The sequence below is a fragment of the Homo sapiens genome, chromosome 2 (assembly GCF_000001405.40).
Source record: "Homo sapiens chromosome 2, GRCh38.p14 Primary Assembly".
Taxonomy (NCBI): Eukaryota; Metazoa; Chordata; class Mammalia; order Primates; family Hominidae; genus Homo; species Homo sapiens.
Genome location: NC_000002.12, coordinates 104,321,355 through 104,336,189, shown reverse-complemented (window position 1 = coordinate 104,336,189; position 14,835 = coordinate 104,321,355). Strand labels below are relative to the sequence as shown.

General features: G+C 39.7%; 1 long non-coding RNA gene across 1 annotated transcript in view; it reads left to right on the top strand.

The window, feature by feature from the left end:
* The first annotated feature begins 3,362 nt into the window (after positions 1-3,362).
* LOC124908051 (uncharacterized) overlaps positions 3,363-14,835 on the top strand; it is a 35,249-nt gene continuing 23,776 nt past the window's right edge. The window contains exon 1 of the long non-coding RNA XR_007088651.1: positions 3,363-3,506. This is a non-coding gene — a long non-coding RNA (uncharacterized LOC124908051). The remainder of the gene's footprint in view (positions 3,507-14,835) is intronic.

The window sequence follows — 14,835 nt, the reverse complement described above, 5'->3', positions numbered from 1 at the left end:
GCTTGAGAGGTGGGCATGGGGGGCTGTCCATCCATGAACAGTGGCAGCCCTTGAAGCATTTAAACTGAGGTGAAGTGGGGTGAGGGTGGTCGGCATGATCAGATTTGCCATCTAAAAAGATTTTGTTAGTAGGGGTGTATGGAGAATGGAACAGGGTGGGGCCTGATGTGGGTAGCCAAATTTGGAGACCTTTGATTAACTTAGGCTGGTTAGTTGGTTATTGGTGCATTGGCAGTATTGAACGAATTTGGACACCTCAACACCCATGAAACACTTAAATCCACACCATTTTGTAACATCTCATATTTTCATGTATTTGATTCATGATTAAATTCACTGATTAATCTGGACACACAGGTATATTAGCTTTTTCACTCAAACTACATGGTATGGTATAATAAAATCCTTGTGGTTGGACTTTTTAAAATATATGTTTAAGTGATCAGCATATGGATATGTAGTTACTACAGCTTGAATATCCTTTGTCTGAAATGCTTGGAACCAGAAGTATTTCCGATTTTATATTTTTTCAGATTTTGAAATAGTTACATACTCATAATGAGATATCTTGGGGACAGTACCCAAATCTAAACACAAAATTCATCTATGTTTCATATACACCTTATGTGTGTAGGCTGAAGCTAATTTTATACAATATTTTGAATAATTTTGTGCACCCATCACATGAGACCAGGAGTGGAATTTTCCACTTGTGCTGTGATTTTGCTGCTCAAAGAGTTTCAGATTTGGAGCATTTCAGATTTTGGATTTTCAGAATAGGGCTGCTCAATCTATATTAAATAAATATTTGAATGAGATAATAAATTAAAGAACAAATAAATTAATTTGAAGGCATTATTTTTTATAAGGACTGTTTTAAGTTCTCTTTCAACAGTACTCATTGAAATTGTCAAATAATAATCTGTTGCACAAAGTAAAATTTGGGGCCACTCTCAAAAGTGCCAGCAATTTTTCAGAACCAATATGAGAAGTGTTCAAAAATTATCCCTTGCAGTCAGGCCTTGGCCTCCTGTAGATCTCCATGGAACCTGGCTATGGTTTAGGTCTTGAAGCAATCAATTCTGGTCAACCACCAGGTTTGAGCCCAATCCCACAATCATGCCATGGGAGGAGCTTAAATGCCACACAGTCCAAAGTCTGTCCTTGACAGATGTCTGGTGGCTGCACTAAGATGGATGGCTCTGGTGACCTGTCCAGCTGCTACTGATCCTACTCTGAGACTTTAGCCCAGAGCACACTACCCTAGGAGTTCTCAAATGGCACCATCCAGCCACCTATTCAGATTGTGTGGTAGTTAGTGCTGTGAGCCAGCTTATCATGGTCATTTGAAAGAAAATCAAGGGGCTAAAGATCAAAGACGTATCTTGGAGGGGGTGGGCAATTGTGAGACAGAGTTGTGGGCACAGGTAGACTCATACTGCCCTTAAGAAGAAACCTTATGAAATCCTGAACACCAAGCAGAATGTTTTAGTAGATGTTAAAGATCTTGAAGGTAGTCATTATAGAGAGATAAGACTCCAGTCAAGGGAAGGCTAAGACAGTATGCCTAGTAACATTAAGCAAAAAACAAACAAACAAAAAAAACAAAACAAAAAAACAAAAAACAGGAGATATATGAGTGGCCCCCTTTGTGATATGGTGGATACAATGAGATCAGTTAGTGTATAGATTGAGGGGATGTTAGGGAGAATGCAACAATCAGGATGGCAGAGAAGAAAGGAACCCCAGAATGACCCTCTGTCCCTGTGATTTTCAGATAATACAACATCATCCAAAGGGATGGCACCCGGTGGTTGTTAGCTGACAACCTTCTGGAAACACTAGAATCCTTAAGGCAGACCTCACAATCAAGGCAGAGTTATTAAATATCCAAATACAGATGTTGCTATTGTCTTAGTCTGTTTTCTGTTGCCATAAATGAATACCATATATGGGGCAATTTATAAAGAGTAGAGATTTATTTAGTTCATTTCTGGAGTCTGGGAAGTCCAGGAGCATGGCACCAACATCTGGCAAGGTGCTTTGTACTGTGTCATAGATGGCAGAAGGCTTTCTCAGGGTGAGAAGGCAGGAGCGTGTCAGCTCAGGCTTCTCTTCCTCTTCTTATTAAGCCACCAGTCCCATCATGGAAGCCCCACCCTGATGACATTATGTAATCCTAGTTCCTTCCCAAAGACCCCACTTCCAAATACCATCAACATAAAAATTTGAAGATTAAGTTTCCAACACATTAAATTTTGGGTGGGAGAAACACATTCAAATAATAGCACTGATCATAGTCAAGAATTAAGATATTAATACATAACTCAGTCAGACAATGAACTCTTCCCTGCTAAGTCAGTATAGCCCTGGACTGTCCCATGTGCGATGCAATGGCCCTTATGGCTCACATAATGAGAGATAAATGTAACTCTGGAACAGTCAAACCAAGGACAACTCAGTGTTTCTCCCAAACTGGTGTACTAGATGGATCACTTATCTAAAATTATACAAGTCCTGAATATACCTATGGCTGCAGGGTGCGTTTTCTCCCTCTTCTCATGTCTCTTGGTATTCCAGATTCAGGAGTAGGGGATAATCTGGATCCACACGGTTGCAGAGTTTTTTCCCCACATCCTGACTTCCTCAAGCAGCTGGAATATCTTGACTGTCCTTTGAAAAAGGCTGAGCAGACACCAACCTGTAGACACGACTATCTCCTGGCTGAATGCTGAGTGAATTGTGTGTGGTTTTTCTTTTCTTCAGGATGAAACAGGTTCTTAAGTTACTGGAAAAGATTTGGAAACAATGCTTCCAAAAAGGCTAAAGATATTTGCCATATGACACTATGCACTAGATAATGTGTGTATCCCAGTTTTGTTCTTACAAATAATCATTTTCTATGTGCTAGTTGCAGTCACCCAGCCATGTCTAATCATATTTTAATGTGTTCTGTGACTGTGTCTGTAGGTAGTCTCATAATCTTTTAAGTCCAAATGGTACGAGTTGCAGACAATGTGGACATCCTTTGGGTTTGTGTTATAGACAGAGATGTAAAAGTTATCTTATCCAAGACTGATCTCAGAAAACAGTTGGCTTCTTGCAAATCTCTATGCAAACTGGCTGCATTCCAATGCTTACGGCAATCAGTTCTTTTGTTCACTGCAATGTTTGGACCTCAGTATTTCCCTCTTGGGAAATACTACCAGCCATGGCCAGAGGAGGTAATGCTACTGCTAACCACAGCTGCTGAGCTGGCAGGATGAAGCAGAATCCTAGGTTTTGTGACGTCATATTGCTTGTGTTCCCAGTCCCAGATCCTATCAGGAGAGAGAGATCCTATCAGGAGAGAGAGACTGCTTTTTCCTAATCATGCATCATAAAAGTTGTACAGCACGAGGGTCAAGAAATTTCCTCAGTGATGACATCAGCCCTGCTAGATCTCAGGAGCTGTGCTTGCATGAAAGGGAAATGAGGAACTCAGGTCTGCTATCAATAATATCTATGTGAGTTTTCCTCAATGTTTGCTGCTCTAGTAGGCCTGATTGCATGTTGTTGCAATATGAAAGACACCACAGGCTGAAGATGCATTTAGTTTCCAAACCATTAGCAGTGTAGACATGTTTTCGAAGGCAAATGGCTGTTAACAAGGAAATCAAGCCCAGACCCTGAAACCTGGTGAACCTTCTCATATCGGGCCATCAGAAGCCCAATGGTGCTGTTAAAACCCTGAGATCATGAAGGAAACCTTGCTGAGGATATTTGCAGCCATTGAATATGTAGTCCTTTTGATCTAATCTAATTGTTGGCCTATGGTTTTGCTTGACCAGTATAAAGGACTCTTTGAAGTAGCCTAATTGTTTTTATACTGTTTTTAATGTTGCATAAAGGGCACATGAAACAGCAAAAATGATTTCGATATTTGCCCCTTGTGAGGGGCTCGTCAACACATATTTATTGGGCATGAACCAACTAGTGCGTTTTGTAAACTAGCTAAATATTATCAAAGGCTACAGCATGACGCTTGAACTCTATACCCCACTATGGGCCCCAACTTTCTGACTTCTCAGAATAAGAAACAATCATGATCCTTACTAAGTACTCATTTCTGCTGTCTTGACATCTTGTGGTACTGAATCCTTCTTGAGTCCTGGAGATATTTTTAGTTGTGCAGGCTGGAAGGGCAATGGCTTACTTAGTAACCTCTGGGGGCCATGGGCTAGAAAACTTGTCCATCCACGAAGCTGTTTTATTTATAATGATGAAGAGGTGTGCTAGGAGCAAATAATACAACCACAAAAGCATTAAATTTGTCTCAGGCTTCATGGGGGCTTACAAGTTGATTGAAGAAGCAAGACTTGTATGCAAAAAGAATTAAGGAATGATATAAAAATTTCCAATCAAGTGTTAGATCAAGAATGAGTGAATCATAGCAACCAAAGGTGTTTTTGTCTGCGTTGAAAAGAAGGAATGATTCAATGTCCCTTAGATGTGAAGGGGTGCACTAGGCAGTGTGACATTGAAGCCTGTAATCAAACTATTACAGATTTCCATGTATACTATTAAACAGATATTGACTTTCATGAGGTTATATCAAGATTTATTGGCCTAAGAGGTAAATATTGACTGATAAGATGTTGAGGTCAATAATTACCTCCAGGGACAATAAATCTTTATATTCGCAGACACACAAATTCAATAGTCAGTGTGGTTTGTTAGATTAAACACAAATTCCAAGTCATTAGATATATCTGGAAATCCCTTTTCATAACCATGAATTCTGACAGTTTATAATTCATCTTAAAACAGCATATTTTAAATCAGATCTGATACAATGGTAGAAGAAAAAAGTACTTTTATGTTTAATGATAGCCTTCTGGAAAAAATCATTTTATACATTACTTCATGTTGGCTAATTTTATTCTAGCAACTAGTCCAGTAATTGCCACATGGTAGGTACTCTATATACATTTTTAATGAAATTAATCTCACACAATTGGACATTTAAATTTGTAATCAACGAAAAAAGCAGATTAAAAAGTATGTTATATAACAATCATCCATGTTTTAAATTTACTCACTTCTTTGTTACAAAAATATTTGTTCAGAACTGATTCTAGTGCAAAGAGCATGTGAGAAAAAAAGATTATTCCACTGATGATCTTAGAAGAATTTGGATGGTTTATATTAGTTCTTTCCCTAAAATTTATTCAGAATTTTATTTCAATCAGAAATTTAATTTTCAGTACTTTTAAGTTTAATGTAATTTAGAATGTGAGTTTATAAAACGTGAAAATACACTAAACACTGTAGTTTAAAGAGTTAATTTTTTATTTAGTCAATCAATTACTTTGAGAGGATGTGTCTAAATACTCCTTATATTAAGGTCTAGACAGTATGGCCTTATATCAGGGACATGGCAAACACAACTGGCAGTTTAGGGCCAGAGTTGGGACTGCAGGTGACATAAAGTGTTGGTGTACAAATGAGTTATCTTGGATTGCCATGAAAGTGTGGCGCAGAAACTCTTTTCTTTTTTTTTTTTTTGAGACGGAGCCTTCCTCTGTCACCCAGGCTGGAGTGCAGTGGCGCGATCTCGGCTTACTGCAACCTCCGCCTCCTGGGCTCAAGCGATTCTCCTGCCTCAGCCTCTCCAGTAGCTGGGATTACAGGCACATGCCATAATGCCTGGCTAATTTTTTTTTTTTATATTTTTAGTAGAGACGGCCATGTTGGCCAGGCTGATCTTGAACTCCTGACCTCGTGATCCACCCGCCTTGGCCTCCCAAAGTGCTGGGATTACAGGCGTGAGCCACCGCGTCCGGCCCCAGAAACTCTTTTCTTAGAAGCTTCATATAGGTTGTCCTCTGCCCGCACCCTCCTTTTCCCACACTGCTGACCACTTACATTAGCCATCTCCTGCCCCATACAACTACTCCGCAGTCCTCTGTTCTCAACTCTCAAACATTCTTCTGTGGCAAAAGCAGAAAATTGGTCCTGAGAATGGTCATAGGCAGCCGTGCTACACTGAGCGTGGGGTGCTATGTGGGAGAGTTAAACTACGACTCACAAAAGTACAAAGAATGATCAAACTCTACCCATAGGCCAACCTTTCTGGATTAATCACTGTTAACAATGTATCAGAGTTCTGCTGTCCATTTGTACAAAAAGAAAGGATTATGTACTTCAGTCATTATTATATTTCTCATAAGGGCCACAGCTATTATGAGTTTGGTGGTATTTCTTTTGGCAAATTTTATATACTTTAAAGCAGATAAATAGATAGATAGATAGATAGATAGATAGATAAATAGGGTATTTATAAATTGTTTAAATGTCTTATTTGTATTATATGAATTGTTCTGCATCTCTTTCCATATAATGTGTTTTCAGTATCTAGTGAATAAACTTGTATATAATTAGCACTTAGGCTGAGTCCTGTAAGAGACTTGTGAATAAATTTGAAAAAAAAAAGACCTTTTTTTTTTTCTTTTAATTGAGACAGAGTCCCTCTCTGTCACCCAAGCTGGAGTGCAGTGGCATGATCTTGGCTCACTGCAAGCTCCCTCTCCCATGTTCACACCATTCTCCTGCCTCAGCCTCCCGAGTAGCTGGTACTACAGGCGTGTGCCACCATGCCCGGCTAATTTTTTTGTATTTTTAGTAGAGACGGGGTTTCACTATGTTAGCCAGGATGATCTCCATCTCCTGACCTCGTGATCCACCCTCCTCGGCCTCCGAAACTGCTGGGATTACAGGTGTGAGCCACCACCGCGCCCGGCCCAAAAAAATGACATTCTAATCCTTTCACTAATTCAACAAGTATTGTTCTAGATCAGTATTTCTTAAATTGAGATACATAGGCACTATGGAAATAGAGATGGGCCTGAGGGAGATATGCCTGTGAGCTTAGTGTGTGTGTGTGTGTGTATTAATGTGTATTACATGTAAGTATACTATTTCTGGAAAGATGTCCCATAGCTTTCATCAAATTCTCAAAGGAGTCCATAAATTCTAACTTTTGGAAGTATCTTTTAAAAGCCCTGCTTTAATTTCAGTGTCATAACTGAGGTAAAATTTTTGTGGTATTAAAATTATGAAACATAGGAGTCTATAATGAAATCGCCTATGTTGAAAAAATATAGATGAGTTTTTAAAATCATAACTATAGCTTCATTTTTATGTATCTAGACACATGTGATCATTTAATCCACAAAATATAATAATTCAATCATAATTACATCTTTGAATGTTAGAAACGGGGCACGCCTTAATAGGAAGCTTGCACAGGAGATTCAAGGACCAAGAGGTGGTTGGTTTAGTGACCTTTTAATTATTTCTACAAATCCAGTCCAGTTCCCTCACTTTACAGATGAGGAAAGCTGAGACAAAGAGACCTGATGGAATTTATGTATGATCACTTGTTTTAGACTCAAGGTCATTAACGTATAGTGAAGAATTTCGAAGGTTAGTTTTGATAGAGAGAAAAAAACAGATATGGTCTCTCTTTTAAATACTTATAAGACATTTGGATATGAGCTAAAAGCAAAAATTAAATATTTTCTTGTTATTCCCTATAACTAGCTGGTTGAGGAAAATCTGAAGCTGTGATGTTTGGAAGCATGATGTAAAATAAATGTATACAAATGTTGGGCACTTGTTTGGTTGAATTTTCTGGCTATACATGCAAATGCAAACATCTAACAAGTATGCTTTCAGAATGTATGCACTGGGAATCGTGGAGGAGAACACAGATGGAGCTGTCCTCATGGAGCCATTATACACTGCTAGTCCTAAAGCAGTGGGGTGTCAGATAGACATATTTTTGTTTCTTAATTGCTGAAAATGATCTTTGCCAAAGAACTTCTTTCCCGCCCCCACCTTTCCATACTATATTCTTTGAAAAGGAGGCACCCTGTCACAGCCTGCACTTAAAGGGTCGAGGATTACACCCTCTTGAGAGTGGAGGATCTACATACATTTTTGGGGGTTCTTCTACAAGGGAGATTTTTCTTTCCGTCTTTATTTATTTACTTATTCAATCATTTATTCCATCAAATTAATCATTCAGGTACTTCTGGGAAAAGAATTTCAGAGGTAGAAAGGGCAGAAAGTAATCTTGTTCTATTTTATCATTTTACAGGTGAAAATTGAGATGAAAAGAAGTTGAGAATTTAATCAGAATTGTAGGGTTCATTGTGGCAGAAGACCCTCTATGGCTTCTCCTTTCTACAGAGTGTGGTGTTTCTGTGTCAGCCCAGTGCGAGGTTGTGGCTACATGGTGTCATGTATGTGGGTGGAGGAGGAGCTGTCCATGCAGTTCAAATGTGTTTGTGAGGATAAGATTTTTAGCCAATGCCTCCAAATTCTCACTGTAGAACTCAAAGTTGTGATTATTTGTAGAGCAACCAGAGTGATAGCATTTGTGACTAGGAACGGAGGGACTATAATTTCCAAAACTGTGAATGAACTGCCTCACTATAGCAAGGGCTGCCAGCTTCATTACGGCACCATTTGCAGGAATCAACCTCCCTCTCACATTTCTCTGTTGCACTTGCCTGTATCTATTGTGGCAACTCATTTTTTTAACTGAATTTTTTAGGCCAGTTTTAGATTCTCATAAAAAGAGATATGTGAGGATAGCACAGAGAGTTCTCATATGCCCTACACTCAGATTCCCCTCTTATTAACATCTTAGATTAGGATGGTACATTTGTTATATTTGATGAGCACATCTGGATGCATCAGTATCAAGCACAGTCCATACTTGATTTTTATTTTCTGAGTTCTTACCTAATGTCTGTTGTTTGGTCCCAGAATCCCACCTAGGATTCCACATTACATCAAGTCATTGTGTCTTTCTAGGCTTCCCTCAGCTATGACAGGTTCTGAGACTTTCCTTGTTTTTGATGACTTTGGCAGTTTTAAGAGCACTGTACCTTGCAGACTGTCCCTCAGTTGGGATTGTCTAATGTTTTCTTACGATTCAGTTGGAGTTATGGGTTTCTGGGAGGAGGACCACAGATGTAATGTGACATTTTCATCATATCCTATCAACTATCAACACCACTAATCACTGTTGATGCACACCTTGATCACCTGGCAGAAGTAGTCTTTGTAAAGTTACTCTCCACTCCTGCTCCCAACTGCACCTTTCCATACTGTATTCTTTGCAAGGGAGTCACCCTGTCACAGCTCACACTTAATGGGTAGAGAGTTATGCTCCAAGTTCTTGAAAGTGGAGGATCTACATACATTATTTGCGATTCTTCTACGGGGAGATTTGTCTTTTCCCCCTTATTTATTTACTTATTTGATCATTTATTTAAATCATCCTGGACTCATGGGTGCATATTTATACTCTGGGGTTTAATCAATATTCCTTTATTTTGTTGCTCAGGTTGTTCCAGCTTCGGTCATTGAAAGTTTTTTTCAGTTGGCTCCTGTGTTCCATAGCCCATCATTTTGTTTGTTTGTTTGTTTTGAGTACTTCCTTCCTTTCTGGCACTACAAGTTGTTTCAGGCCCATGTTGTATGTTTCCTGAGAATACTGACTTTATTTCTGAGAATACTGACTCACTTTTCATACTTACTTTACATTTAAGTTATAGCATGATATTGTGTATGTGGTTAAACCCCCAGGCTGGATGGATTCCACTCACCCCTCTGGGTTCACTGTCCACTCTTTCTCACCTGCTCTGTGTCCAGGAGACTGGTCTGTGTGGGCTGATGGGGAGGCCCTGACCATCAGGTGCTCCCACAGAGAGGGGAGGGAGCACCAAGAGTCAGCCCGGGCTATTTATTCCTCCACTCTTTCCCCTGGGCTTACTGGATCCTTGCTGAAGACCTAAGCTCACACCAGGCAGTGTCTCCACATGGCTTCTCGGGCTCCAGAAGCTCCTCCCACCTCTCCATACCTTCCCCTACACCCCACTTCATGTTAGCCTGTTTGGGTCTGGGGGTAAGAAACTCTCCTGTTGCTAGCCCAGGGCACTGCCCTGGCTCCTGTAGTTTCCTTTGACCTCACCCTTACTTGGGTAAGCAGTCTCTTTATTAAACTCCCAAATTATCCTAATTTGACTGCATCTTTTATTTCCTGCTGGAATATTTTCTAGTATCTTTTTGGAATATGATCAGAATATGTTCCAGGAATGTCAGAAGAAATGAAGGAAGAAAACAGTGGAAGAGGCTGGGCATGGTGGCTCACACCTGTAGTCCCAGCACTTTGGGAGGCTGAGGTCGGCAGATCACCAGGTCAAGAGATGGAGACCATCCTGGCCAACATGGTGAAACCCTGTGTCTACTAAAAATGCAGAAATTAGCTGGGCACGGTGGTGCACGCCTGTGGTCCCAGCTGCTCGGGAGGCTGAGGCAGGAGATTCGCTTGGGCCCCGGGGGGCAGAGGTTGCAGTGAGCTGAGATTGCACCACTGCACTCCAGCCTAGCGACAGAGGGAGAATCCGTCTCAAACAAAAAAAAAAACAAACAAACAAAAAGAGTGGAAGAAAGAGTGAGAGAGATTCAGAGTGAAGAGGAGATGGAGGAGAGAGAGGGAGAAAGAGGAGAGGGAAGAGAATGGAGAGAGAGGAAAAAAGAGGGAGAGGAGGGAGAGGGAGAGAAGGAAGGAAAGAGGAGAAAGGAGAGAGGAGAGAGAGAGAAAGGGAGGGAGAGAGGGATATATAAAGGAAGAAAGGAAGGGAGGGAGGAAGGGAGGGAGAGAGAGCAGAGATTTTTAAAGAATAATCAGAACATATGAGTATGTCCCATAATAAAGTGAAGGAAGACACTTAGGATCAATGGCAGAGGACAGGTTTCTAACTTACAGCCAATTAATTCCTCATATACTAAATAACAATTTTAGGTCCATATGGGACTAGGCAATTTTTTAGGATTTAACTTTAGAGCTAATAATTATAATATGTGGAGCTATTATTAATAACTCCCATGGTATCCTGACAATGTGTTAGACACCAAATTTTCAAGTAGATTAAGAGCAAACATTCCTTATTAGTACAAAACAACTGTGCAAATTCCATATTTATGCATTTGTGGGATTTTATACTTTCATTTGCATTACCTTGGATTTCTTCTTAAGGAAGAGAAAGAAATCTTATTATAGACACTCGTTTAGCTTTTGCAGTAAATATGATGAAAGTGTGCTCTTGGTTAAAACAATCTTGAATCTCCACATTGTTTAGCATGCCTGCATTGCATTATAAGATATCAATAAATACTGAAATGGAAACACAGTTAACTGTATATAGCCATCTGTTAATGTATCTTTTATTCCATGCTAACTATGTAGGTAGGCACTTAATATATATTACTTAATTTAATTCTTGATCCGTTATGTTGGGATTTTGAGTTTTAAAGATGAGTTAAACTCAGAGAGACTAAGTTGCCAGCAATCACACAGGCAAAGACTACAGAAACAGAAGTCACACCACTGGGGCTGGAATATGGGTCTTCCTAACTGTAAACCTTGTACTCTTTCAATTACACCATTAATTAATATGAACATTTATGCTTTGGAGGCAATTAATTCAGAAGTATGCAGTACAATGAAATATGAGCATTCATTTCTGTGAAGGTTTCATTTTATGGTGTGCGCTAAATTTTTAGTTAGGATTGAAAACACTATGTTTTAAATAAACTAAAACTTTAAAACATCTCAAGCAGAATAGTCTATGACTAATACATACTATAGAATAAGACAGAACTTGCTCAAAAACTACGTGTATAGGGTTTTGATTACCTTTTGGTGTCAAGGTATTTAATTATGTTTTTATTTCAAAGAAACAAATAGTCAAGACTGGATTTGTGAAAATAAGAAAAAAAAGCAGTGTCTTTTTCTTCTTCCAAGATTTGGAACTGTGGTGGTTTACTTAACCTGATCAAACTTTTGCCTGGTGAAAGAGAATGGAAACACGTTGTTTTAATTCAAGGAAAGTAACTAATTTGCATACATTTAGTATGAGAAGCTTACACAGGTCTACTAAAATCAGTGTTAACAGAGACTCTTAGACAACTTCTACTCCAATTTAGATAACAATTTATTAACCTATCTAAAATGTGGTTCTTTTATTCATTCAACAAGTAATTTTTGAATATTATATTTCAATCGATATTTTCATATGTTAGGTGTTCTGCCGGGCTCTGTAGTGACAGAGGTGAACATGTTATATGTAAACGCAACCTTTACTTAGTCACTACTGAATAGTATTGTGTCTAAACATACTTCTCAACTATGTTAACAATTTCTAAATGTCGGGGACAGGTGTTTTAAAATCCGTGGACATGTTTTCAACAGATGTTATGAATGACCCAATCCGGGACATTCAGGCTGAGAAGGTGCTTTGAAATCTTAGCTCTTCCAGTGCGACACCCTCCGTGCCCTTTCAGGAGCCTGATAGTTGGGGGAGGTGGTGACTTTCTCAAGGCCACAGAAGAAAAGCAAGAATAGAAATCTTGTCCCCTGACTCTGAAGTCTGTTCTCAAATAGGACACTGGCTTGCCTGGGGTACTAAAGAGTCACTCATGAATTCATTCATTGGTTAACTCAATTAACAAATATTTATTGATCATTTTCTTTGGGCAGGCCAAGGCCCAAAGTACCCCAGTAGGAGATGGAGGTACAATGAGAGCAGAGCAAACATGCCCCTTACAGGGTGTCACTTCAGTCTAACAAAGCACTAGGTCTATGGTAAGATACTAATAAGAAGCTATGAATATTAAGTAACTCTAATGTAATTTGTTAAATAGATTGACCAACCAGTATAGGAGAAACTGTAGTAAACTGATTATTGGGGAATAGAATAGCAAGCCATGAGAGAATGTCGAGGGTTTTCCAATATCGTTTTGGGAAAAGGTGGGCTGAGTTAGGATCCACTGTGGTTGCAAAGCTGAGCTGTAAACGGGAAGATCTGCAGGAAAGAGCTGGCCAGGTGGATGACGGAAGCAGGTGGGCAAGCGTGCTCCATGCACAGGGCCCAGTGTGTGATGTCACCAAGGAACTGAGAGCAGGGAATTCATAAACGTGTGAAGAAGTAGATAATGGTAGTGTTTATTTCTTGCTTACTTTGTGCCAATATGTTGTAAATGTATTACATAGGCTAATTTATCAAATCCTCCTACCAACAGTATGAGATAGGGGAGTATAGTTACCCTACCTTCACGGAAGAGAACACTAAAGCTCACATAGGTTAAAAATCTCACCCCAGATCATATATAGGGGACTGACGGGATGGACTTCAAACCAGGGCGTATGGCCTCGGGGTACCTGCCCTTAGCCACAACACTGTCTTCTTTTTGAATGTAAAGTAAATAGTTGGTATTTTCCACCTTCTAGCTCTCTTCCATGCTTGGAGTTCAATTTCTACAGTTGGGAAAAAATTACTCAAACCCCAAACAATTTGAATTTATGCCTTGTCATACTGTATTTGCTTAATGAATGCAAGCCTCTATATTTCCTCTCATTTGTGGGTTTATGAACGTCAGCATCATACTTTATATGCGGTATGATTTTTTTAAATGCCTAACCTGTCATAATTAAAGATACCTACTTTTGACAAAAACACTTCTCTCCTACTTGTAACACTCTGGCACTAACCATGCCAAAAACAAAAAACAAAACAAAACAAAACAAAACGAAACAACAACAAAAAACCCCACACCCCACACATGACCCATGAGCTTAGACAAGCAGCACTTTATATTTTTAATGCTCCTGCTATTTAATATGTGTACCTTGCCCAGTTTCTGGGCTGGTCTTCTTCCCCTAGGTTTTCCTCTGTATCATTTTTGTGGCTGCTTCATTTCTGTTTAATATTTGCTTATTTTTGTTGAAATCCCCAGTGCAGAAACCCAAAAACCAAACAAATACTGATGGAAAACTCACAGCAGCTCAAATGTCCTTGGAGACACTCAATTTTTTTTTTTTTTTTTGCTACCATTTGTCATCCTCTGCTCAGAGAGATCAACAGTTTTTAGCACACAGATCAATATTCTCTTAACCCAGACCTAATCTGAGGAGAGTCTCCCTGTGTTTCACCTTGGCCTGCTCCTCTATCCTGGAGTTGCCCTTTTTTTTTCCTCCAGCAATAATCTTGTCTGAGTAAGACAGCAATTTTTCATCCTTTGGTCAAAACTGGTGACAAAAGAGGGAATAATGGTTGCTGACATACGAAATGATAAATTTGACACATGGCGTGCTGAGCTGGGAGCTTTCACGTGCCAAAGCAGAAAGACAGATAAGCAGGCTGATAGCTCTTCCGACATTGCCGGCTCGCCCCAGCCGTCCTCACCCTCGGATACCAAAACAAGCTCTGCATTTTTTTTTGTTTTTTTTTGCCTTTTTCTTGAAGAAGTTTTGTCTCTGCCTCTGGATAGGAAGCTAGTAAATGTGCTGCTTTCCTGCCCAAAATAAACATTTCCCTGTCCCGCAAAAATGATCAATCTCTGCCCTTTTCTGTAGCACAGTGAGGGCAATACAGCCTGCTGCTTGAGGAAATATTAACAAATATAGCCAGTGAGAGGGAAACAGATGGGACGAAGAAATTGAACCAGCAGATTTCTGGATGGTGTTCAATGAGAAGAGTTTTATAATACTGAAACAGAACTGCTCTTTAATTTTTGTGAGCATCGATAGTCAAGAAACACCTCTTCCCAGCCTCCTGGTCTCCCTATTAAAGACTTCATAGAGGGGCACAAAAGGGTCCCTTTCTTAATCATTCTGGCAAAAGCAAATTAAGGCTTACAAAAGCGAGTGCCAGGCGAGAGCGTAAAGGCGTGCTGGCGGCTCCAGCCCTGGTTCCTGGGACAGACACAGTGACCTAC